This window comes from Homo sapiens, chromosome 11 (genome assembly GCF_000001405.40).
Source record: "Homo sapiens chromosome 11, GRCh38.p14 Primary Assembly".
Taxonomy (NCBI): domain Eukaryota; kingdom Metazoa; phylum Chordata; class Mammalia; order Primates; family Hominidae; genus Homo; species Homo sapiens.
Window position 1 is genome coordinate 31,280,235 of NC_000011.10, and position 27,900 is coordinate 31,308,134.

The following is a 27,900-nucleotide window of genomic DNA, read 5'->3' on the forward strand; positions in this document are numbered from 1 at the left end:
AGAGGCAAATGAACACAAAACACAGGTGAATCTTGCTTGGTTCTGAGACAGTGAAGGAATTTCCCCAGTATTTAAATATATTCACATAACCAGTTACATACATCTAAATATAAAACCAATCACCAGTAAGTTTTAAGATGGCATTCACCATCTTTGTGAAAAGGTGAAAATTATTAATGAAGTCTAATCATAGCTTTAGAAGGGGTAAACAGTGATAGCATTTACTGAATTCGAATTACTATTAAAATTCAAAAACTGAACATATTCATTTAACCAGAAGCTAGTCTTAGTTTTAAATCAGGACTGCCCAACAAAATATTCTGTCAGTCATTCATGACCTGAATTCTGGTGTATGAAATCTATTAAAGTATGGTATACATAAAAAAGTCATGAGACATTTCTGTTTTGTAATAAATAAGGCAGTGGCAAATTATTACTCATTTAGTAGCTTTTTTAAGACAAGCTAACAAGTCTGCCCTTTCTGCCTTCTTCTTAATGCCGGCAAAGATCATTTTTATTCTAGGGATGTACTTCTTGGGACTCTCCAAATACTCCATCAGTGTATCCTCTCCCCAGGTGATGCCTTTGTTCTTATTGGCATCTGTGTAAGTGAATACAATGGCCTGACCTGTCTTCTGCCCGAAGAGACCATGGAGATTAGGCCCAGTCTTGTGCTTGCCTCCCTTTTCCACGGTGTGGCACTGGGCACACTTTTGAACAAAAACTCTTCTTGCCTTTCTCAACATCACCCATATTTAATTCCCTTTTTCGTCACAACGAAGGTTCCCGCTCTGAAGCTAGACGTCCCATTCTCCTTAAATTTCACTTTCTAATTGTCACTAGCATATAGAATTTCACTGACCTTGTATCCTGCAAACTTGCTGAATGTATTCCTTAGTTCTACTAGCTTTTATGTAGGTTCTTTAAGGTATTTGATGTTCTTATCACATTGTCTATAAATAAAATAGTTTTTATTTCTTCCTTTCAAATTTATACCCTTTTTACTACTTTTTTCTTGCCTTATCACAGGGTAGGGCCCCCAATAGCATGTTAAGCTGAAATGAAAAGAGAGGACATCTTTGCCTTGATTCTGATCTTGAGGAAAACAGTTCAGTCTTTCATCATTAGGTATGTAGTTAAATCAGTGTTTAGTAGACATTCTTGACCAGATTGAAGAAATTCCCTTCTATTTCAAGTTTGCTATGAAAATTTTTTTTTGTTTTTTTAATAAGTGAATATTAAATTTTGTCAAATTCCTCTCCAATACCTACTGAAATGAGCATATGGCTTTTTCCATATTCTCTTAAGGTGGTCAACTACATTGTCTGTTGTTAAACCAACTGATATGGTTTGGCTCTGTGTCCCCACCCATATGTCATCTTGAATTGTACTCCCATAATTCCGTTTTGTGGGAGGGACACAGTGGGAGATAATTGAATCATGGGGGCAGTTTCACCCATACTGTTCTTGTGGTTGTGAATAAGTCTCACAAGACCTGATGGTTTGATAAGGGGAAACTGTTTCGCTTGGCTTTCGTTCTCCCTCTTGCCACCACCATGTGAGACGTGCTGTTTGCCTTCCACCATGATTATGAGGCTTCCTCAGTCATGTGAAACTGTAAGTCCAATAAACCTCTTTCTTTTGTAAATTGCCCAGTCTCAGGTATGTCTTTATCAGCAGCATGAAAACAGACTAATACACCAACTTTGCATTCCTGGGATAAAACTCACTTGATCATGATGTATTGTTGGATTTGACTTGTTAATACTTTTTGAAGGAATTTTGCATCTATGATTAGGAGGATATTGGTATGAATTTTCTTTTCTAGTAATGTCTTTATAATGCTAGTCTCATCATGTGAGGGGGAAGTTTTCCTGTTTTCTCTATTTTCTAAAAGGTTTGTGTACAACTGATATTATTTCTCATGAAAGGTTGATAAAATTCAACAATGAGATCATTTGGTCTTGGAATTTTGTTTTTTGAAAAGTTTTTAATTATAAATTTGATTTATTTAATACATAGAGAGATTTTGAGATATAAATTTTCTTCTGTCTCAGTTTTGGTAATTTATGTTGTATTAGAGTTCTATATCTAGAAGGACAAGATTAATAGGATAGGTGTATATATGAAAGGGAGTTTAATGTCTATCAAAGATAATATATATAATGTCTATTAAAGGATAATATATATAATTTTAAATATAATCAATTAAGATAAATACATGAAAGGGAGTTTAATGTCTACATTAAACAACTCTCCACAGCTGGAGAATGAGTGACCTGATATATTTGGTTATTTATTTCTAATTTAATTCTTTTGCAGCCAGGAAACATACTTAAAATAATTTTAATCCTTTTAAATGTACTGGGAATGGCTCAATAAGCAGCAAAGGGTCTATAAAAGTGAATGTACCAGGTACATTTAAAATAATTTCTTTGTGCATACCCAAATTTGTTTCTGGTATCATTTTCTTCCAGTGAAAAATATCCTTTAATATTTCTTATAGTTTAGGTCTGCTGGACACATGTGCTTCATATTCTGTTTGCCTGAGAATGCTTTTATTTCGAAGATTTTTTTTAAAGATATTTTCATGTAATATAAAATAATAAGATAACCAGTTTTTTCTTTCAGCGCTTTAAACATATTATCTCTCTCTACACTTTAAAGATATCTGCTATCTTCTGTCTTGCATTATTTCTAAAGAGAAGTTAGCTTTTATTCTTACATATGTATCCCTGTAATTAATGTGTTTCCTCCCCTCTGGTTGCTTTTAAGCTTTTCTATTTATCACTGCTTACAGCAATGTGATTTATGTCCTTAATCTGGTTATCTTTCTACCAGAGGTGCATTGAGCTTCTTAGATATGTGGGTTGTTTTCCATGAACCAAGAACTCAGGAAAAATTCTGGCCATTATTACTTCAAATATTCACAGCCTTCTCAGTCTTTCTAGGGCTCCAATTATACGTCTATTAGACTCACTGATATCATCCCACAAGTTAATGACACTCAGTCCTTGCTTTCAGCCTTTTCCTTCTGCTTCTCTACACTGCAGTTTGGATAGCTTCATTGCCCTGTCTTGAAGTTCACGGATCTTTTCTTCTCTAATATCTAACCTGCTGTTAAACCCAGGTTTTTTTTTTTGTTTTTTGTTTTTTTTGCAGTTAAGATATTGTAATTTTTAGAACTAGAAGTTCCACTGGTTCTATTTTAAGTTTCCAGTTCTCTTCGCATTATATTCATGTTTTTTTTTAATACGTGAACATATTTATAATCACTGTTTAAATGTCTTTTTCTGTTAACTCTATTTTGGGGTCTGTTTCTATTGATCAACTTTTCTTCTGGATATAAATTATCTTTACTGGAATCTTCATGAATTTGTTTAACAAGCTCAACAAGACCTCTCCTCTCCAACTGGTCAAAATGCAAATGTCTCCTTACCCTGCACATACTCCCATACTTGTTTCCCTTTTACATCCTAATTAGCTGTTCTTTTCCTGGCAGTTGTTTGTGTCAGACCTTGTGGAGTTCACCCTATGCATAAGCAACTTAATAGTCAGCCAAAGACATGAGGGGATGCTTACACAAAATTTGAGAACTATTCTACAAATAGCTCCCTCTTATGGTATTGCCCTGCAAATTTCAGCTACCTAGAACTTTGATGTCTTTCTCTTCAGTTTATGGGAAACACTGTGCTTTTCTCAGATTCTCTCTTCTCTCTCTCTCACTCTTTCCCTCCCTCTCTCTCTCTCTCTCTCTCTACTACGATCCATAAATTGCCTCCAGGTACAAAGACATAGTGAACTTTAGGACTCACTTCAACTTTTCCCCTTCTCTTAGGCATTACAGCTGATGCTTCCTGTTGTCTAATACCTAAAAATTGTTGTCACATATTTTGTCCAGTTTTTCAGTTGTATAGAATGGAATGGCCAGTCTGATACTAATTACTCCAAGTAGGAAATAATGGTTATGTTAAATTATTTTTAAGACAGGACACATTAGGAATTAAAATTTAAGAAAAAGTAATATTAAGAGAAGTTTTGAATAATAAATAATATTGCTCTTAAACATCAGAAAATGGGTTATAGTACTAGCTATTTCACTTGATCCACTTTGGATATGGCAGTCAGCTTGTCTAAGTTTCAGTTTTTTGAGTAGCTTGACTAGAAGACTTCATAAAATCCTGTGATTCTAATGTCCAGAAACTCGATAAAGTTCATCAAAGATTCTTTAATGGTAAGGTATGCATGGACACTAATCTAATAAATGCTTCAAGGTAACCATTATTGTTATATGTTCTTAACAATTAAAATATGTTAAAATATAAAATGTACATATAAAAACTATAAAATAATTTTAATAAAAAACACAGAAATACATTTTAACTTTCAAATTTAATATCATGTTTATGTCTTTTTTTTTTTTAAATGGAGTCTTGCTCTGTCACCCAGTCTGGAGTGCAGTGGCACGATCTTGGCTCACTGCAGCCTCTGCCTCTAAGGTTCAAGCAATTCTCCTGCCTCAGCCTCCCAAGTAGCTTGGATTACAGGCACCCACCACCATGCCCAGCTAATTTTTGTATTTTTAGTAGAGACAGGGTTTCACCATGTTGGCCAGGCTGGTCTCGAACTCCTGACCTTAGGTGATCTGCCCACCTTGGCCTCCCAAGGTGCTGGAATTATAGGCATAAGCCACCATGCCCGGCCATGTTAATGTCTTAACTGCTCCTAAATAATATTAAGGACTATCCTTAACTACCATCAGTAAAGTAAATGAATCTTTAGACTGATAATTCTCATTTGTTTTTATTTCCATTAAATACATTCTTTTTTCTTTTTGCTTTTTTTAGAATTTCATTTTTAAAAAAATTCTGACTATAAATAATTACTTATAATATTCTAAAATAACTCAATTATATATAGAAATTCACATTAAATAATGAAAAGGCAACTGGCTATTCATAGAATCTTAAGAATAAACCATATTATCAAATTCCATATTTTTAAAACTCTTCTTTTGTGTTTTTAATCAGATATTAATCTCTGATTTAAAAAACTAGCCTAATTTTTAAATAACAAGTAATATCAATGGACTTTTCTTCATATTTCATAAAAAGCTCTTTAAAGAAGTTCCAACATACTAATTATGCATGACCTCCTCTGTCGGAATCCATGTTGAGCATCCTTAATCAAATTTTGCTACCCCAGGTTCTCCTTTTTGAATCTCTTAAGATACTCTCTAAATTATTTTACCCACACTATTGGGAAAATCTCTGCTGCCATAGTTACTAATTTATGTGTGAACATTCTGCAATCGTACCATTATATTGTGTTATTTCAATTGAATTGGGCCTTTCTTAAGCTTGAAAATTTTCTTAATTTTTTGTTTAAGCTTATTAAGTTTTTTTATTAATAAATGGTAAACATCATAGAAATATATATTTCTCATGGCTTAAAGGCATCTGATAAAGTCTATTGCTTTTTTATACCTTGACATCCATATAGGAGTAATTCCCTCAATACTTACATGTTTTTTCAGTAATAACAGGAAAAAGTAATTACAATGAAATATGCTCACATATAAATATAAAGGGAGTATTTTTTTCCTAAGCCAGACTTGCTACACATAACCACTCTTTTTCTGCCAACTTGTAGATGTTTTCTATTTCCCGATTTCTGAACTCCCTACACTCATTCTAATCTAACAACTAGCTATCTAACTTCCCCCAACCTCTTTTATTCTGTCTCACACGTTATTTTTTTCTCTTAAACTACATGAGAAGTACAGGAGAACAAGCAAAAAGGAACTCTATGAAGATTTCCATCATATAGTAAGTTTGAAGTTTTAGAACACTGGAATAAGAATTCTCAAACTTTAGAGTGGCTGGGAATCATCTGGAGACATTTGTTGAAATTCAGATTCCCAGGGCCCACACTCAAGAATTCTTAACTCAATAGGCTTTAAGTGGGGCCTAGAGTCTGATTTTTTAACAGAAAGGCCAGACGATTCTGATGCAAGTGTTCTGTGGACCACACTTTGAAAAAAACTGTGGTCCTTTTGCCTACAGTAAGTATATGACGCCTCCAGGTAACGGAGGAAAAGTATTCTGTTCTCTTTGAAGTAAGTTAACATTATATTATTCATAGCATATATATATGTCATAATATATAACACTATATTATTATATAGCACAAATTATGCTGCATAAACCCCAAGAAATTGGGCAAAACAATCGGGATAGGAAGAAAATATTAGAATTATTCATTTTTATCTATAAAAATCAATAATTATGAATCAATTATTATTAATATTAAAAGATTGACACAACATATTTTCCAAAAAAGAGAACCAGAAAGGTGGGAAGATAATTAAGTGGTAAATGATTTAGCAGACCAGAAAAGTCAAAACTTAAACTAGTAAAAGTAAATTTTACTTGTATTGCAGTACCCCAAAAAGGCTCATAAATTTGAGATATCAGGTACCTCTAAAAGTTGGGCTGAAAACAGGTTGACTATATAGAAAACAGATAAACATCCAGAACCCTTCCCACATCAACCAGTCAGGCAACTATACTTTTGCTATCAGAAGAGTAGACATGAGATTTGCTCTCTGGAGAGACTAAACCTCTTACTGAAAAGAGGACAATTAAATGAAAATCTACATATTGAAAGTGAAACTCTTAGCCCCCTTCTCCACTTGGCTAGTACATTGCTCAAATTGGCAGACTTTATGTGGTGAAATTGATTAACTCCAGAGAAAAGACACTGATAATTAGGAACCCAACCCCAGTGAAAAATCCTAGTCAAAACACTCTCCGGTGAAATCCATCTGTCAATAACACAAACCTATGCTCACAACTTTTCAACCAACTTTTTAGTTCTTCACTTTTAAATATTGATGGAGGAGTAACTCATATTTAAAGTAAGTCTGTAACATTAAAGATCAAAATCAAATAAAACAAAAGCAATGCCCCCACCCTGCAAAACAAAACAAAACAAACAAACAAACAAAAAAAAACAAGTACTCAGAGAAAACACAGACTGTACAAGGAGAAGCAAAATATTCATTGGGTTGAGAGGCAAAGATAAGCAAATCTCCCAGATAAGAAAATTAGAAGTTCAGTTCGTAAGATCCAACATATAAAAGTAGGAGTTCCATAAAATAATAACAGAAAACCTACAGTAAAAGGATATTGTCAGAAATATATACAGTTTAACAAAACATCTCAAAAGAAAAGGATGACACTTTTCAAACTGAAAAGACATCCTGAGTATCCAGCACATCTTGAAAAAAAATTTGAACACTGTCAATAAAGAGATGGTTCTAAATGTTTTCATCCTTTGTGTCACCTACAAAGGACGATGAATCAGTCTGATATCAGACTTCTCAACAGCAACACTAGCAACAAAAATCAATGGAGCAATACTATTAATATTTGAAAGAAAAAATATTTCCCAAGATTTGAAAATATTCACCATCTGTGTTCTCTTTTTTGGGAAGCCACTGAAATATGCACACAGCAGAATACAGGAGGTACAGGAAAACTAGGGAATCAGGGAAAAGAAATCCAACAAAGGAGAGAGAGAACGATAACTCCCAGGTTGATAGTGAAGAGAGATCCCAGGATAGAGATCATAGAAAACAGCCAGTTCAAAAGGGAGCAAGAGGACAGCGTTTTTTTTTTTTTTATTGTTACATTCATTTCATTATCTTTTTCATCATTTTCTTCACCACTGTAATTTCCTGCTATTGGTGATAGTAGCAAACCAAGCAAAAAACCAAATAAGTAAGATATAATTATTAACTACTGGGAAAAAATTAAACATTTTTCATAAAAGAAATGCTATCTTGAATAATAAAATAATCCACACAGCCATCAATTATCTGAAAATGAATCCAAGATGTAATTGGAAGAGAATAAAACTTATCCACCATGATGCTAATCTCAAAGTTGTGTATCCATATCAGCTATATTTCATTTCCCATTAATTTGGCATCTTATGCCCACAAATTTTTCTTAATACCTTTTTCAAACCATGGATGTGTATGTTTAGCCTATATCTTACAGTAGCACATGCTGTGTGATTACTGAAGCCATATCAAGTAATTCTAAAATCATCAGATTTAAATCGCAAAGAGATGTGCTATAATTCCGGTATTCCAGAGTTTAGTAAAGGAATATATCATTTTGGCCCTCATTTCAAACTTCTTAATTACTTCCTAAAGTAAATAAATGGATTTCCTTTTGATGTTCTACTTATAATTAAAATAGAGTCATTTCCCCTTGGCTCTATTCTGTGCTCAGAGAGGACTTTTATGCTTTAACTACCTTATTGTACCACCCATTCTCAATAAATCTCTTCTTATCTCATTGCAATAACCTTCACCATATTAGAATCCTTTACATTCTACTTCAGTTTTACATTACTTAGTAGTAATTGAGAAATAGTTAACATTCCTAATATTTTATCATAAAAGAGAAAATAATTTGTTTTTTTCTTAAGACTATGCCACTTACTTATTTCTATTACTGATTTGGTATTTAATATATAAATAGAGCATGATCCTATGATTATCAACAACACTTTCAAAATTTAAATTTTATTTACAAAATAATTAGCAAGCCTTATTTTTCCCTTCTAAAAAGTTCTTATTGACACCCAAGATCAGCATTTTGTTGCCTCTTCTCCTTTACCTCATTCTTAAATGTGATACTGAGGCAAATATTTACAAATACATTTGTTACTAAATCATGTTCTATCATGAGTTCTATCATGAATTTGTGAAAATTCTTTAAATATTTTCTACAAATCATAAAAGAAAAAAGTAAGCTAAAGACTTCATTGATCATCCAGTTTTAAATAAATTCCTTTCTAGAGACAAAAAGCAAAATAGCAGTGACATTTTTATTTATACTCAACATTTCATCTAAGAACATATAATCTGTAAGAGTGACTATTACTCCAATTTTACCACTAAGGCATGGAATTACGAGATTGAACTGAAGTGAACTCAAGAGGTTATCTAACATAGCTTCTGTCTCCAAGAATGACTGCATTTTAACAGTCCAAGAGATACGTTCATCTTCTCTATTTTTCAAAATGGCCAGGGAAGATGTTATAACTTGCCTTAGCAATTTGCTCTGCTGTGTAATATCCCTTAATATCATAATCAAAATCTTCAGATAAGAAGGAAATAAAACTCAGGTTTCCCAGCTCCTTGGTAAATGCTCTTAACCAGTTGTGGTTGTAAAACCACCACAAAAATAAATAAATGAAGAAGTAGATATTTTGATTAAAATTCTAGTATCTAGTCAACTATTCACCTGTTTCAAGCAACATTCAATTCGAAATAGTATAGTATAACAAAATTATCTTGATTTCATAATAAAAATTTTCCATTAGAAAGAAAACTAATTTCTGTTAGGTGCATATTATGAGTCTCAAAAATGAGACTAGAAAACATTTAATGAGAACTTTCTGGGTGCCAGGCATTGTCCTCGATGCATAGTATCACATTAAATCCTCACAGCAACTCTATGAAGTAGGCACTACTGTTATCTCTGTTTTTTTAGATGAAGAAACTGAGGCTCAGGGAAACAAAGGTGTCCAAGGCCTCATAGCTAGTGAATGGTGAAGCCAAGATTCAACCCTAGGCGTTTGGTTATGTTTTACTGTCTCTCATACATTCTTAACACATTTGTTACTATATTATTATTAGGTTGCTTTTAAATTGGTTGAAAAATCCTTATCTGTAAAAAAATGTATGTGTGTTTCAAATTCCCATTAGCTCCTCGGTATTTTTTAATATCAAAGATGTTTTAGAAAGTACAAGCACCTTCTAAGAAACACGCATTTGTATGACAAGTAATACTTTAAATTCTGTTTTTTAAAGTTTGCTTGTTTCATGATTTTTCTTAGGCCCCTTAGATATGTTTTTAAAAACTTATATGAATACTTTGAAACTGCATTTTAGTGATTTGGGGCTTTGCTAATTCTTTAGAGGAGCAAGGATGCTTTTAGGTCTTACCACTATTCTAAATGAAAAGAGGCAGATTTGAGACTGGAAGCTAGCTTAGACTGGCTTCAATCTAAATAGCTTATAAAATATTGTAACTAATTAGAATGTTTAGAATGTTTTCTCTAGTAGAAACATAACATTTTAACTAGGTAAATGGCTAACTATGTTAGCCAAATAATTTCCTGAAATATTGTTGCTTTGCTAAGGTAATTTATGGTATTAGTGCAATAAGCAGACTTATAAACAGGTTTATACAGAATTTTTTAGTTCTATATAATGTCTTGTTAATATTTCTATTTGTTGGCATCGATATTTAGAAGAAGAAAACAACACATTTCAACAGCCACAAAACTTTGAAATTAAATTCATAGTTCAATATTTAATTAAAAATTACCTTTTTCATTGTTTCTTTTCCCACTGTAATCTCATGCCCATCCTGCCCCATGCCATTCTTAAAGAACAGAATTCGGACTGAGGTCCTCTCAGTAAGTTTCTTCATTCTAATAGAAAGAACAGGCTTGGTTTTCCGTCTTTTGATATCAGTAGGAAGCATCAACCCATTCATTGTCCAAGTTACTTTCTTAATTAACAACAGATGGTCTAGAAGATAATTTTTTAAGTCAAGTCAATATTTGGCTTCAAAATTAAAAATGGACACATCATACTTCCCTCCCTCTATTACCTGTGTATTATACACTGGCCAGTCTCCATTTAGATGCTGGTTTTCTGAAATGCTACCACCAGTTTCTTACTAACTGTGACATAAGCTGTAGCAAGCTGTCTGCTCTGATAGCCTGCATAAATCATCATTTCTGAAGGGAACAGATGTTCAGGGTATGAAAGAGTAATACCACAATTTAGTCCTAATTAAAATTCACCTTAGCCTGCCTCTATTACTGATTAAACGCACCCAGCTGAAAGGGTCTATTGAAAATATCCAGTGTCCTTTGCTTACTATAAAACAACATAGGTCTTGAACTTTTATGTTCTTTAGGGTTGGGAAACATTTCTCTTCTCTTTAATATGATTTCTTATCTATGTTGCTTTAAAGATGCTGACCTCCAAATAGTAACATTATACTGTAATTCTTCTCCTGTGACTAGAAGGAAGGTGCCTTCTAGGACATCCTCGGTGAGAGATTTAAACTATTTCACTGAAAATGAAAAACAGTTTTTCATTAACAGTTTACTTTGACCTATACATTTTCAAAGCTGTGTGCAGAAATTTAAGTTTTAAAACTCCCACTAATATAAACAGGAGTGCAACTAAATTACTATGTATGACTTCGAAAATGTAAGGGTAAGAAGAGGAGTGCAGTATATTGCATACTAAGTTGCCATCAGCATTCTTCTCTTTTCAAGAGGTTTTGTTTCACAAATAAATAATTTGCACCTGAGCTATTTATTTGTGCATTCAATTTATTTTAATCATATTTTCTTCTTACATAAATTACAAAAATACAATGATCCCTCCCTCATCTGCTCTTATTTGTTCTGAGAGAAACATAATTTTATTTATAGATAACTGAAAATAGCTGCATTTATTGCTATTTTGCATTGAAATTTGCCCAGATTTTCAAATGATCTTTCTCTGTTAGCACTCACCTTGAAAGAAGCTTGGCCTCTTTGACCTAGAAATGTTACTTTACATAAAATCTGCTAATATTGATATGAAAAACAAGCCAGTGGTTGTAATAACCTTCGAGTCTCACAATGGCTATATTAAATGTTCAACAACAACAACAACAAGAAAAATCCTCTATTCTTACCCCCCTTTCACTCTCTGTTACCCACACACATACACACATATAAAAACACATATACCGTGGCAGATAGATAAACAAAACTTGCAGATTAAATTAAAACTAGATTATAAGACTATAGACATAAGTCTTCAAAAAGAGAAAAAACATTTTAACAGCAATTTGTTACTCTGTTTTCATTTTGTAAACTGAAATTAATAGGAATTAGAAATTATAATAGAAAAATAAGCTATAAGTTAATGAGTTCATAAATAGCCAAAAGAATTGAAAACAGATACTCAAGTAAGTACATGAACACACATGTTCATAGCAGCACTATTTACAATAGCCAACATGTGGTAACCAAATGTCCATCAATAGATGAATGGATAAACAAATGATAGTACAATGTATAACACAGATGGAATATCATTCAGCCATAAAAAAGAATGAAGTACTGATACTTGCTAAAAAATGGACAAACCTCAAAAACATGCTAAATGAAAGAAGCCAGACATAAAAAAGGTGACATATTGTATGATTCCATTTACATGAAATATCAGAATAGGTACATCTATAAAAACAGAACATATACTGATGGTTGCCAGCAGCAGGGAGGAGAGGGGATTGAAGAGAAGCTTAATGGGTAAGGGGTTTTATTTTGAAATGATGGAAATATTTTGGAACTAGATAGAGATGTTAGTTACACAACAGTGTGAATGTACTAAATGCTACTAAATTGCTCACTTTAAAATTATTAATTTTGCATTATGTGACCTCAATAAATAAAGAAGAAAAAAAGAAGAGGAGGAGGTCCATAGGTGCTGATCATTGTCAGACAGTATTTCTCTGGGAAAAAAAAAAATCTCTCACAGGGGAAAAAAAAATATGAATGAATTATTGTAGTGTAATGGGAGTTTACCCACAATCTGGATGCCCCTAGATGCTTTGCATGGTGAAAGGGTATTAACTCTACCTTCAAACTACGTTTGAACCCTAGCTCTGTTTCTTAGTGACACTAGATGCACTATACCTCCCTGAATTTCAGATTTCTCATTAAAAATTATCTAGTGAGCATCACTCCACTACGTGACAGGGATTAAATATCTTATATGTAAAATTACCTAACATATCGAAGTCATTCCATAAATGCTAGCTTCTTCCCTCACCTCCCTGAAGTTCTATTGCTTATTATGGAGCATTGGAGTATATTAATTGTTACATCAGTCAGGGTCCAATCAGGAATACAGAATCTACTCAGAGTATTTGAGCAGAGGAAACTGACTGCAGGGAATTGGTTATGTAAGTGACAGAAAAGGCTGAGAAGCAACCGAAGGACAGTTAGGCCACCCAGAAATTAGAAAGAGCAAGAAACCACTCCCACTAAGGCCAGAGGGAGGAGATGTTACAGGCACCAAGATTTAGAGAATCTTACCAATAAAGGGTTTTCCAAGGCCAGGACTAGGGTGAGGGGAGTGAAGGCCAATGAGGCAAAATTTAAGGAAGCTGTGCAGGGCCCTCACAGAACCCTCAGAGCGAATGCCTCCTCAAATTGTGTCCCAGTGATACTTCACTCACCCAACTGTAGTCCCAGCCCTGGCTGAAACTGTCTCTTTCACATGCAGAACTCCTTAAATTCCATGAAAAACAGTACTATAGCCAGACTCCATTTATGTGATTTATAGATACTACCTTATTTATCTCTCTCAACAACTTTATGAGATAGGTAATATTATTATCCTTATTTACAGTTGAGAAAACTGAGGCACAGAGGCATTAACTTGCCCAAGATCATACAACTGGTATGTGGTGGCACTGGGACATGAATTTAGTTCAAGAAGCTGTGCTCCTAATCACTGCACTCTTTTGCCACTACCATATATCTCAAATTCAATGTCTAAAGCAAAATTTCATATCTTTCTGCACAAACTGTCTCACCCTTCACAGTTCTTATTTCTGTCAGTGTTTCCACTTCTTTTACAGTTATCCACTCTCTCGGCGAGACCTTGAACCCATACTGCTTAATCATTTCTCTCCAACTAATTGCTTATTCATTCAACAATATTTACTGGGTGTCCACACATCAAGGCACCAGGGCGACAACTGTAAGGAGGACAGAGCTGCTTGTGCAGTTCACAGGCTCTGGCAGAGAAACTGACAGTGTAAGGTCTCTTTGAACAGAGAGGCCTATGAGATGAGAAGTTAGTTGTGAAAATCTGGGGGAAAGGTATTCCAAGCAGAGTGAAAACCAAGCACAGAGACTCGAAATGAGGATAGGCCTGGCATGTTCAAGAAAGAAAAACAGAATGGGCGCTGTGGCTCATGCCTGTAATTACCCAGCACTTCGGGTGGCCGAGGCAGTTGGATCACCCAGGGTCAGGAGTTCAAGACCAGCCTGGCCAACATGGTGAAACCCCATCTCTACTAAAAATACAAAAAACTAGCCAGGCATTGTGGTGGGCGCCTGTAATCCCAGCTACTCGGGAGGCTGAGGCAGGAGAATTGCTTGAACTCGGGAGGCAGAGGTTGCAGTGAGCCGAGATCGTGCCACTGCACTCCAGCCTGGGCAACAAGAGTGAAACTCAGGAAGGGAAGGAAAGGGATGGGGAGGGGAGGGGAGGGGAGGGGAGGGGAGGGAGGGAAGGGGAGGGGAGGGAGGGGGGGAAGGGACAGGGAGGGAAGGGGAGAGAGAAAGAAAGAAAGAGAGAAAGAGAGAGGGAGGAAGGAAGGAAGGGAGGGAGGGAGGGAGGGAGGAAAAGAAAGAAATAGAAAGAGAAAGAAAGAGAAAGAAAGAAAAATAAAGAAAAAGAAAGAAAGAAAGAAAGAAAGAAAGAAAGAAAGAAAGAAAGAAAGAAAGAAAGAAAGAAAGAAAGAAAAAGAAAACAGAAAGAGTGTATGTGGTTAAAGCCAAAGAGGCAGAAAAGGGGCCACATTGTTCAGATCAAGATAAAGGATTTGGATTTTATTCCGGATGTGATGGGAAGCTGTTAGAAGATTCTCAGCAGGGTGCTATGTGAAGAAAGTACAGTTGTCCCTGGGTATCCATGGAGGCTTGGTTTCAAGACCCCTGGGATACCAAAATCTGTAGATGCTCAAGTCCGTTATATAAAATGTAGTAGTATTTGTATATAACCTACACACATCCCCCTGTGTACTTTAAATCATCTCTAGATTATTTATAATGCCTAATACAATGTGAATGCTAAGTAAATAGTTGTTATACTGTATTTTTGTTTGTATTATTTTTTATTATTCTATTGTTATTTTTTATAGCTCTTTTTTTCTGAGTATTTTTGATCCATAGTTGGTTGAACCCACAGATGCAGAACCCGTGGATACAGAGGGTCGACTATAGTGCATAGTGTAGTAGACACTGTTGGTGCCCCCCCAAGGTGCCTTTTAGCAGGCTAGTGCACCCAAACTCCAGCTGCTTTGAGTCCTGGCTGTGACCATTGCACAGCTGCACCCTTCTGAGAATTGCCTTTGACTGAAAGAAACCTAGTCAGGAAATGCCTATGAGGTTGTGATCTCCTCCCTCTTACCTAGGGAGACAGCCGACAGCCAATGATTGACTGATTCTGGGGCATAGTAGCCAGTCCCCTTGCCTCAAAGGGGAGCAATTCTCTGGTGTCTTTCACATTTCAGACTGGGGGTAGATTTCCAGTGAACACATGTCTTGGCCATGCTTCTTCCTTTGCTCTAGGCTCCTTCTCTCACTCCCTTACATGGTTCAACTGAGAGTATTCCCTCAACAAGTCTCTTGCACTAAAATCCTCATCTCAGGTTCTGCTTCTAGGGAATCTGACCTGAGACGCGGTAAAGGAAGGGAGGGAGACCTCTCGGTTATTCATTCTTCACAGTAACTCTTCAAAGCATCATTTTTTTTCCATTTCCAACCAGACCCATTTGTCCATTTCTGTCTCTGCCTCCTAAAATCTGCAAGAACTTTCTAATTGTATATGATTCTCCTCCATCACATCTGACATTCTATACACCAATCACAACTGAGTTTTCCTAAGACATCAATTTTATCATTACCTAAAGAGAAAACTCTTGGAACTAGTTTTTGAAGTTTTCTCCTAGTCAGTCAGTCAGTCAGCCAGCCAGCCAGCCAGCCAGCCAGCCCATCAGGGGTCTGTCAGGCAGTCAACAAATACTTGTTGAGTGTATCCTATGTGCCAGATTCTGTGCAAGGAATATGAAAAAAGACACAAGTCCTTTTTCCTAACCTTATGTCTAACAGAAGAGTTTACAATCTGATGCCATTCAAACTTTCTGTTCTTGTCTTACCCTAGTTTGAAGCACTGTTTTACCTAAGCAAATCTGTTCATTATCCCTGTTCACTTTTAAACCCATACTTCACCTATTCAGACTCAAGTCCTTCTCAGGATCCAGTTTAAGATCTTCCCTTACTGCTCCATCAACAACAGCATTTTGGTCAAAGCCATTCAACAAGTCTCTAGGACATTCCAAACTTTCCCACATCTTTCTGTCTTCTTCTGAGCCCTCCAAACTGTCCCAATCTCTGCCCATTACCTAGTTCCAAAGTTGCTTCATTTTTGGGTATCTTTACAGCAGCGCTCCACTACCTGGTACCAATTTACTGTATTAGTGCATTTTCACACCACTAATAAAGACATAGCCAAGACTGGGTAATTTATTTAAAAAGAGGTTTAATTGACTTACAGTTCAGCATGAATAGGAGGGCCTCAGGAAACTTAGAATCATGGTGGAAGGAGAAGCAAACACATCCTCTTCACAGTGTGGAAAGAAGGAGAAGTGCAGAGCAAAGAGGCAAAAAGCCCCTTATAAAGCCATAAGATCTGGTGAGAACTCACTCACTATCATGAAAACAGCATGGGGGGGACCACCCCCATGATCTAATTACCTCCCACAAGGCGTCTCCCCCAACATGAGGGGATTATATTTCAGATTACAATTCAATATGAGATTTCCGTGGGGACACAGAGCCAGACCATATCAACCAGGGAACCCTCCTATTTAGCAACAGGAAGTGATTCTTCTGTACATCACCCCTCTGAGGACATATGTTTTCATATCAAGAAATGTGGTTCGAGGGCTGACAGCCAGGGTAAGCATTATTACATCCAGAGGCAAGAAGAAAAACAGAATCTGACTCTTCCATGCCAACACAGAGAAACTGAAGACGGTCAGCAAAGACTTGACAAGACTTCAGCCCTGGCGAGGAAGAGGCTATTCTCAAAGGCTGGGGGTGAGTGGAGTGAGTAGCAACAAAATAGTGAGGGGACTGTAGGGTATGTGGGGCAGGGAGCCAAGCAATTCAAACAAGAACCCTAATGCCATCTGAATCTACTTTGAATTTCTAGGAAAACATACTAGCCATTTTTTTTTTAATTTTTTTTGAGATAGAGTCTCGCTATGTCACCCAGCCTGGAGTGCAGTGGCATGATCTCGACTCACTGCAACCTCAAGCGATTCTCCTGCCTCAGCCTCCCGAGTAACTGGGACAACAGGCGCGCACTACCGTGCCTGGCTAATTTTTTATATTTTTAGTAGAGACGGGGTTTCACCTTATTGGCCAGGCTGGTCTCAAACTCCTGACCTTGTAATCTGCCAGCGTTGGCCTCCCAAAGTGCTGGGATCACAGGCATGAGCCACCATGCCCGGCCCCCATACTAGCCATTATTAACAAATGCTTCCTACATTTCTGTCTTTCATTAACTTTCTCATCTCTAAAAATTCAAAAATTTTCAACTCCTAGGGCTGAGGCTATCTGGTACCTTTATAAGAATCAGGTTAAAAGGCTAATCAGAGACTCAAAAGAAAGCAACCATTTGTCTCTTATCTACCTTTGACCTTAATGGCCCATCCCCACTTCGAGTTGCCCCACCTTTGCTTTGAGTTGTACCGCTTTTCTGGACCAAACCAATGTTCATCTTACATATATTGATTGATATCTCATGTCTCCCTGAAATGTATAAAACCAAGCTGTGCTCGGACCACCTTGGGCACATGTCATCAGGACCTCCTGAGGCTGTCTCACAGACATGTATCCTTAACTTTGGCAAAATAAGCTTCCTAAATTGACTGAGACCTGTCTCAGATATTCCGAGTTCACAAATCTCAACGGCAGTAACATCCGAGTTCCCCTTTGGATTGTTCTTGAGTCTCAACCTTTTCTCCTTTGGAATGTTCTTGAATCTCTACCTTTTTCCCTTTGGACTGTTCTTGAATCACTACCTTGTTGATAGTTCTTTCAGCAAGGTCTCTGCCCTCCACAACCAACTGCCAAAGAAAGGGCCCTTGTCTCACCTGATTACCTTATCCCCTCTAAATATGCTAGCCACACCTGGTGGTTTTCAAAGCAATCAGACCTAGACCTGTCCCAGTCTTCCTCTCCTCAGGTACTTTTCTCTGGAAAGTTAAGATTCTGCTGGGTTAGGATGCAGGTGGTGACTGGACTCTAGTGAGGACCTAAGGTTTAGCATAACCTTGGAAAACAGTTCCCAAAAGGGTCGTATCTCAGCTGCTCAGGGACTGCCATGTCCGCCTGACTGTTCATATACTCTCCCAAAGCACTCAGAGAAACTTATGTTCCAACCATAGATTATATTTTATTTGATAGAATCCATGTCTTATTTTATTTTCATGATTTATTTTTAACCAAACCATGAAAAAGATAAAGCACTTCTTAGCTTGCTTTTCTGTTAAAAGGTCTATCTACAATATAATTATATTTCCTCAGTCTACTTCAAAAAAGCCAATGTCTGTCACAAAATTAAATAAATCTGGATGCTCCTAACATTATAATTTTCCATTTTGCTTGTACCAAGTAAAAAGAATGCTGCCTTCTTTTACTTCTAGAATAAAAAGCAGCAAACTTGCAACTTCAAATCCACAAGCTTATTAAAAAAATTTGTTCTCTGGTAGTTGTGCAATAAATTTGAAAACACAACACTCTGACTGTCAAGTAGGTATAGATAATGACATTAAATATGAATAAGCACATCATTTCATGAATGCAAGATGAGTTTATAAAATACAAATGCTCCGACAGTAAGAAAACATACTGCTATATTCAATTATATCATCTACCCAAAATACAATTGCTTCTATGTTTGGTAAATAGATTAAATCCAGGTCACATTCCTGCATTCAACTGAGTTTCTAGTCACTCCCTTTTCTCTAAATACTTGCGCTCTTTGTTTCTGCATGTTCTTAAGTGTCATCATTTATTGCTATAGGCATGATGGCTATATTTAACTAATAATGACAGTGGTTGTCATTAGATTTTAACTCAGTAACACTAGTCTGACATATCATTTGAAGTATGTCTTCAATTTACATTTGATTAAAATTACAAACATCCCATCTATTGTGCCAATCAAAATGTTGTCACCCTTTCCCTGAACTTTTCTATGAACTTTCTTTAAATAAGTTATGGCAGCTTAAAGTTAAGACTAGCCCTGGGTCACGAACATATTTTAAAATACAACTTTTGGAACGGAGCAGACTAAGGCCACTTGGGGGTCCTTTTATAAAAGGCCTTGATTTTGACCTACACCCTAGATATTGAGAGTTCAAAGCCTTTAACTCACATTCCCATATCATGCTGTATACATAACTACTTGGCAGGTATTTTAATTTGGTTGTATTTATTTCAAGATCTCAGACCTAGCAAATACCTTTGTTAGTAAAGTCAGATACGTGTGACAACTTGTATGAAAAGCTTGTGGAAACATACCTAGAGAGGATGGAGCAAAAGAAGGAAAATAAATAAGGGCAGGTAGAAAAATAACATTTCAGGTAACTATCATATGCCAGGTTTTTATATCATCTTCTTTACTTCCCATAATACATCTGTGGGATGTAAACTTATTTTTTATTTATTTATTTTTTTTGAGACAGAGTCTCGCTCTGTCGCCAAGCTGGAGTGCAGTGGCATGATCTCGGCTCACTGCAACCTCTGCCTCACGGGTTCAAGCAATTCTCCTGCCTCAGCCTTCCTAGTATCTGGGACCACAGGCTCGCGCCACCATGCCCAGCTAATTTTTGTATTTTTAGTAGAGATGGGATTTTACCATGTTGGCCAGGATAGTGTTGATCTCTTGACCTCACGATTTGCTTGCCTTGGCCTCCCAAAGTGCTGGGATTACAGGCGAGAGCCACCACACCTGGCCGAGGTGTAAACTATTATGCTCAATTTATGGATGAAGAAACTTAGGCTTAGCGAGATTAAGTGACTGGCCCAGGTACACACTCTAGTTTGCTTTCCTGGCAGTGATGAAGAAAGTAGAAACAAATTTTGTTGTTGTTGTTATTTTCCTGAGCCCAGCCAGCTATTCTAGAAAGGTAAAAGTGGACACAAGGTTCTGACTAACTTCAAGTCTTAGTTATGTTTATAAGATGGTATTCTCAGTTTTCTGTTTAGACCAGGGGCTTATAGACACTTAATTTTCAAATGATTTATCTTTATTAGAAATATCCAATAGGCATTTAAAGTATTACTTCATCTATATTACAGATAAGGACACTGAAGTGCAGACCAGTTTGCCCAAGACCAGACACAGGGACTAGAATCTTGCAACATCAGCTGACTTCGAGTCTAGTGTCCTTTAAAATAAACAATAATGCATTTCTCACAACTCTCCTAACAAGATATCTAAAGCCTTCAAAAGTGAAAAGTTCAAAAAGCAAACCACTCTGAAAGAATAACTATAGAATATATAAATGAATTCTCAGGTAAAGTAACAAGCAGCATAGGCAGACAACTAAGTGATTTGATTTAAAGGTAACTGTTTCATTTTCGATTTTGTAAATGCATTCAAGTTAACAGGACAGTATAGGTTTGCAAGCATCTGTACAGTAAACAAATGTAGTCTCTGTGTATGAATATAATTCAACATTTTATGGTTATGTCAAGAATTTAGGTGTTTTTCAATGATTTGGTATTTGACAATACAAAGAGATGCTGCCAGCCACACGCAGGCTATAGATTTTCCTACTGACTAAGAACACTTTTTTGGTCCATCTCTTATAATTGTCTTCAAATCCACACCTATTTTATATACCAAGGATATTCTATTCTTTTATTTACAGATTTAAAACTTTGGAATAGAAAATACATAAAATATTTTCCTATAGTTTTACCCTCACTTATAGAAATAGAAGAATCATATGCTGTCTGAGAAGAAAATGTTTTTTTTTCACCACATAATGCCATCTTCCTCCTTTTGAATATATATAGAAAAGTGGAAGTTAAAATGTACAAACAATCTAACCTAATAAATACACTATTCAAACCAAAAGATAAAAGGGAATTTGGGAAAGCCAGTCCCAACTACCTTAGCTGATTGAATTAAGTAGTGGTTGCCCTGTAGGTGAACACCACAAAGGCTGGTATCTGTTTTGGCAAGACTAAAGCAGCCATTGGTGTAGGCAGCACTATAGCGTTCTGTCTTGAGATCTAGCAGCAGAAATATTAAGGTATGATGTGATGTGAGTAGTGGGTCACCTATTGAAATTTGTGCTTTTAACATAACAATTTAAAAATCAACAAATTCAGTAGACATATAATGGAAGAGAATATAATGCATGAATCCAGGTTCATTAAATGAATGCATTTTTTGAAAAACAAAATATGACAGAACATTTCATTATGGACGCAGATATGAGAAAAAGTGTTATGCTGCTATTTAGAATGTGTCTTGTGTGTCGTGGAATTGAAATATTTCCAAATCATCAATAATTAAAATGATGAGAATCCATCATTTCACTGACACTTCTACATGAAAAGATGGCCTATTTTAAATGTGCTCACACATATTCTTGTCAATCACAAGCTGTCATAGCAAATTATTTCATTTTGTAGATCACATGGCAGTTACTAGAAAATCTCTAGGCTTAAATTTAGATCTTAGGTGTAGTATCAAGAACTCCTTTCATGCATTTTTTTCTGTGACTACGTCTTCACAATATTGGATCTAAAAGATTTAAAATCTTATTCATAATACCAAGTTTCACTTCTGGTTAACAAAACTCAGGACTGAAATGAATCACTGTAAATGATAATTCTGAAAGCCCAGTAATAGAATAGGATATACAGGAGAGAGTAGAAATATTCAACCAAAAAGTTTTAAAGACAATCAGAACTCCATACAACAGAACTTGGACCTAACGAATTAGGTCTAAATAGTGTTTTCTCCTCATCTTATTTAAGATATTCAGGCAATCACAGGGCACGAACCATTTATTATGCTATGTTTGCATTACTTACATACAGCTCCTAGCAGTTATAAAGGAACTGAACTCTTATAAACCCCATGGATCTGATCCAAGAATTTTCACTGTGTCACAATTAAGCAGAAGATTTAGGAAACTGTGAATAAAACCTAAACCACATGGCCATGAATCAGAAAACTTAATATGCCTTTTCAAACAATTCATTAACTACCTATTCATAATTTCAATGAATTATTAATAAATGTCAGAAACTTTAAATGCCAGAAGTATAATACCTAATAAGGCAACATTATCAACAGTATTTATATAAAATATTTCTATTTTCCTGATCTTTTCCATACACAATTAATATTTATGATTAAATATTCAACTTTAAAATGTAAGAATTATTCTAATACTGCATTTCAACAAGGAATGCTTCATGTCAGTCTTGACCTTGGCCTGACCTCCGTATGAAAGCTTTGTGTTTCAAGGTATGTGATGAATAGCTCTCCGGCTTTCTATTAGATCCAATGCCACTGGTTGTCAACAGTTATGCTCAAAAGGCGTAGTAAAATAGTTAAAATATCAGAGATGTTCTATAGGATTTTTTCTGTCTTAGTAAATCTGGAAATCGTTCTTAGGCAATTTTCTCCATCTACACTGCTTTTCCAATGAATAAGGAAAACCACTGAAGTATAGATATATAATTGCCAAAATATATACTGGCTTGTTTGGCCTTCCAATGCCAGAAATAAAATAAGATCCATTTGATTTATGTTGTAAAATAGTATTCTCAGTTTGAAGGATTCATAACTTATCTACTCAGTTTAAGTTCCTTAAAGGCCAGGACTTCTATCCCTATGCTGGGGCACACATAGTAGGTACTCAATAAAAATGTGTTGATTTAAATTTTGATTTAATTGCATTAAATTGAATTTAAATTAGAGATGAAAGAATAATGATAAAAAAGAAATCAGACTATGAACCACAGCTTTTATCTTTCTCTGACCTGGCCTAGTATCTAGCATATATAGACTCTCAATAAATGTTTGTTGAATGAATAAAAGTCTGTAAATTAAAACAATGACCAGTTATCAATTGTATATAAAATACTTATGCTCATTTAGAAAGATACATCATTAACACTTAATTCTGCCAATTGATTTCCCCTATTTACCTTTAGCATGTTCAATTATCCAACTTCTGATCATGTCTCTTTAAGTTTATCTACCACTTTCAAAGTTATTCACACGTTTTTATTTTAATGGTACACTTGTGGCTAGTTGGAAAATTATCGATTTATCTGTAAAACAGATGACAGAAAGGTAATCTTCAAGCTGATTTTGGTGGTTTGAAAAAGTGTATGTGAATATGTGAGTGATATGTAATATATCACTCACATCAAGTTAAATATTATCTTTCATATATAAATGTATATATGTTTACATTTATATTCTTAACATTCTGAAAGAAACCAAATATCATTGTTTAAGCTTATCTATAAGCTCAACTTAGATGAATGGCTTTTCCCCATTATACTTATCCTAACTCTTTTTAATGGACATGTGATATGCTAGTCTGTGTCCAAGCTCACCTACAATTTCTTTTCTCAAAAGACAAGGCACATCTGCCACCTGCTCTACTCCGTGTCCCAGCAACAACTGTCGAGCAGCATAAAGATTGATTATCAGTCAAAAACCATTGCACAACACCAGATTTTGGTGGGTTAAGCTTGCTGATCCAGCAAGAGATGGTGTGAAATTTTCAGGAATGTGTGCCAACATTTTGGTGCTAAAAGAACAGCAGTGCATGTCACAGTGAAACACAGCCAAAGATACGCAGACAAAGCAGAGAAGTTTTTTGTTCTGGACTTGGCTTTTGAAAAGGATAAAAGAGAAAACAAAAAGTAGGAGGAAATTAGTTAGTACATTTAAAAATCATCCACCAAGCTCAGTCATGTGTGTGACATTATTATTTCAGGCATACATGTCCAGGAGATTTTCTTCTTAGCTTAGCTATAAATAATTTTTATATGTCTCTTCTACAATACCATTATTCATATGAAAGGCAAGCATTTCTTATTAATAACAATAATCAAGGATCTTAATGAAGCAATCATTACAAATATATCTGAATTTTTTAAAGTCACAGAAAAGTATTTGCCCACTACGACCCATGTTTTTATATAAGCAAATGATTCAATGAATATAAAATTAAGGCAGCCAGCCATATTTTAAACTTAAAGCAAAATGTGAAAAATATATGAGTCTACACTATCACATAGGTAATTTTCAATGACCATTATAGCAACAAGTTTCTTTACAAGAATGAAATTTTCTTAAATTTTCTATTGAATTCAAGAAATTGCTTATTTCCTGAAGATCAAGTATTATATAAAAGAGAAATCCTAGCACAACTTTATACAATAACATTAACAGAAGGGAGATTTTTATCACCTCATCTGTAATGAACTCCAGAATTACTTTTCTTCTACTTATGCAATTACTGCCTAGACTTGCCTTTGATTCACTAGCTTTATAGAAGTTGCAGAAAAAAATTACTTCTAATAAAGTATAAAAAGCATAGGAAAGTACAGCAGTTAGACACACTGAATTTTTATGGCAAAGTCCTTATTCCTGTTATTTAAATCCAATTATCATACATAGCACTAGATACCAAACTCTGGGTACAACATGCTTGGAAGAATATTCTTAGATAGTAGTGCTTTTATTTCTCCCTTAAAATGTATTCTTTTCCACTGAGGAAAGAAAAATGTTATTTTTTTAAATTTTAGAAAATCTCCACATTTCTGAAATGTTGGAAGAAATGAACTTTTTGGAAAACCTTAATTGAAAATATGTGTAGGATTATATTATACATTTTAAGGTTAAAAAATAATCAAGCTGGAACATTTCTTATGAAATACGTTATTAGGAGAATCATATGTATATAAGAAATGTATGTTCATTATTGGCCACATTTTCATAATTATGTTGATACTATCTGAAAAAAGACCAAGAGTGTAAATGAATAAATGATACTTAAAACTTTGAACTATTTTCTGAGAGGATAAGTCTAATGAATTATGTCTGTTGAGTGTCACAGAAACTAAACAGTAAATTCAATAATCTCTGATTTAATTTATTATATTTTCACCATTTAACCTCCTGCAGGCTCCCTAATGTCTATTCAGATCTATATTAAATTAAGCACCAATGCTAATGAAGGGCAATAAACGTGGCTGTCAGTGGATTTTTCTTTCATTAAGCACATTATCCTCTTACTGAGCTGTAAATGCGTAAACATTAGTTTTGTTAAACCATGCAAAAAAGACAGGATGAAAATCATTTTTTAATTGCACCCCTTAAGCAATTCAGTATGTGTGGGGGTAGGGTATTTTTTAGATCTTTTTTACCTTTAATTTTTTTGAATGGATTTAAAAAGGGCTCTCCCGTTGAAACATAAACATCGGCTTCATGGGGTATATCTTCAGGTTCGAGGGCTTCCTTGCCGTCTGCCAAGAACACTCGTCTTGCGGCCATGTTCAGATTCAGCTTTTCTGTGCACTCCTCCAGCAGCTAGAAGAAAGCAAGAGGTAAGTCAAAGTGATTTACTACAAAGAAAGTAATATATTTCCCTCAAAACAAAAGGTTCTAATGATCAAAATAGAAACCCAATTGAGTCACTTGCCAATACAGTTATTTTCTAGCAGTTGAAAATATAGAAATAAAAGGTAAGTCACAGCATGAAGCATATCTAATTATTGACTAAATTTAACATTTAAATGATCTGTCATTTTAATAACTCTACAAGGTATTGTAGAGTTTCATCTGTTTAAATACACTGTTTATATATTGAATTTTTTTAAAAAAGGAGAGGAGTGAAATTCCTATGAAATCTACGTATATATAAGCAATCGGTAGATTCAGATTCTCAAAAAGAAAATATTAACAATAATTTTCTCATTTTTTATATTATAAAGAGAGTAAGGGAAAAAAAATAAAGCACAGAAAACTTTGGAACACTAGTTACCAAGGTGATGGTTGGTACAGTAACTCTGGCAAAGACTGTTCTAGATCCATTTTTGTAAGCTGTTACTTTAATCACTCTTGGTTGAAGTTTGTGTCTTTGAGACAATTTCTGCCAATTCCGGGCTGACTGAAATTTTAAAGAAGAGAACTCTGCAACCCTGAAGAAAAAGAAAAACAGAAAAATTGATGCATGCTAATTAGTGAAAGCTTTTAAATAAATATTATCCTGGATTTTTTTAAACAGATATAAGCACTAAAGATTGTTCCTATGTATATAAGTATACCTAACAAAACTTTTTATAGGATAAGATTGTTGTTACAGAGTAACACTCTCACTATTTAAATATTCAAAAAAATTTAAAACACAGTGTTTGCCAAAACTGCTCATATAAAACATATATATCAGAATAAATGATTCTTATCACTTTACTTATAAAACACAACAGTCCTTTTAAAATATATATATATTATATGCAACTAAAAATTATATATATGAGATATGTTCTGATAGCAAAAAATAGTAATATGGTCTTAATATCATGAAACAGCAAATGGCTAAGATTCTATCCAAGTTTTCAGGTTTATCAAAGTTCTTTAACTTTTTTAAAAAATGTTTAAAATTCAAAAATATTTGATTTTAAAATTTTGATTCCAAGGTTAATTGTATTGCTCTCATTTCAAACTGTTCGGAAGTGGTAACGGTGAAGATTTCTAAGTTTTGTCTTCAGGCAAAACTAATTTTGATATTTATGATTTTTCTCAGCAAAAGTATGTGGTAAACTGACTAACGTCAAATTTTCTTCATAATTCTCTAACTAACCAAGTTAATTTGTAATGCCACAGAAGAAGAGTAAATATTTTAAAATAAAAATGTCACACAAATTAAAAACACAACATATCCACATATTCAAACATTTGAAAATAGTGGGGTATTAGTTTCTTGGTTTGATTTTTGTTTTTACTAATATTTTCTTCTGTCTATGAACTCTCATGTTAACAGTTTATGATAACAATTTGATGTGAAAACATATTTACAAAATTGTTTTATAATAATTTCATTCAATTCAATTCTGTTTCAAACTATTGGTTAAATATCAAAAGAAAGCATTTTTATTTTTAAATAAGTTCGTGTGAGCAAAGATATTTCATGATCCTAGCCTGATTCTGCTTCAAATATTCTTTTCAGAGTTTCTGATTGCCCGGGTTGAAGTGTATCTCATATTTCCCACAGTGTAATTAACAACATTCTACTCTGGTGCTTTCAAAGAAAAAAACAAAAACAAAAACAAAACCCGAGAGATGTGTTACATTTTAATGTCTGAGATAGTCAATTGAAACATTATAAACTCTGCTCAAAGGAAAGAACTTCAACAATAGGTTAAAAAGAACAGAGAACAGCTTTGATTACCTCAGTTGACCCACTGGAGCACTGACAGGTCTGTTTCTCTTGGATGCTGATATAGAACAAGAATTGTTTTTACTGTTTGATTTGTAGCTATCTAGGTCTGATATTTCATCATGGCTGTGATCTGATGCTGTTTGATGTGTGGAGCAATCTTGAAGTCCTGACCCTTCTGATACTGCTGCTGAATGCACGAGTCTGTTGGGGCCAAACTGAGACTGCAAATAATCATCAGTAGTTTTAATAACTGCTTTTGCCTGGGATGACATAAACTCTCTGGAAGAAACAATGCATGGAAGAATACAATTAATTGATTTGTAATCATTTATTAACAAATACCATATAATAACGAGTTGTGTGCTATGTGCTACACAAAATACTACACACTTAGCCATTATTTTGTTTAATGCCTACAATATTCCTGGGAAGTGGTTATTATTTTTATTCCCATTTTACAGATTTAAGAAATTGAGAATCAGTGAGGTTAATTAACTTGCCCACT

At 34.8% G+C, this 27,900-nt stretch overlaps 1 protein-coding gene and 1 pseudogene across 24 annotated transcripts in view, besides 1 other annotated feature; both read right to left on the reverse strand.

Moving 5' to 3' along the window:
- The window catches only part of DCDC1 (doublecortin domain containing 1), a 506,137-nt gene that overhangs the window by 416,632 nt on the left and 61,605 nt on the right, over positions 1 to 27,900 (reverse strand). For 20 of the 24 annotated variants that reach the window (XR_002957144.2, XR_002957145.2, XM_024448476.2 and 17 more), the window contains 4 exons: positions 27,405 to 27,674; positions 25,998 to 26,154; positions 25,381 to 25,543; positions 10,413 to 10,618 (listed from right to left, as the gene is read on the reverse strand). Coding sequence is in view for 20 of the 24 variants with exons in the window: in XM_024448476.2 (XP_024304244.1) it covers positions 10,413 to 10,618; positions 25,381 to 25,543; positions 25,998 to 26,154; positions 27,405 to 27,674 (796 nt within the window). In the remaining 4 variants the exon portion in view is untranslated. Of the gene's footprint in view, positions 1 to 10,412; positions 10,619 to 25,380; positions 25,544 to 25,997; positions 26,155 to 27,404; positions 27,675 to 27,900 lie in introns of those variants that run through there. The other 4 variants (NR_170625.1, XM_024448478.2, XM_024448480.2 and 1 more) reach the window with 3 other exon arrangements.
- Positions 136 to 814, reverse strand: CYCSP25 (CYCS pseudogene 25; annotated as a pseudogene).
- Positions 25,042 to 26,241: an enhancer, noted in NCBI's record as "CDK7 strongly-dependent group 2 enhancer chr11:31326823-31328022 (GRCh37/hg19 assembly coordinates)". NCBI's record gives its function as "activates an origin of replication core promoter dependent on BRD2, BRD4, P300/CBP, MED14 and CDK7 cofactors, with strong dependence on CDK7, by STARR-seq in HCT116 cells {active_cell/tissue: HCT116}" and the evidence as "EXISTENCE:reporter gene assay evidence [ECO:0000049][PMID:35650434]".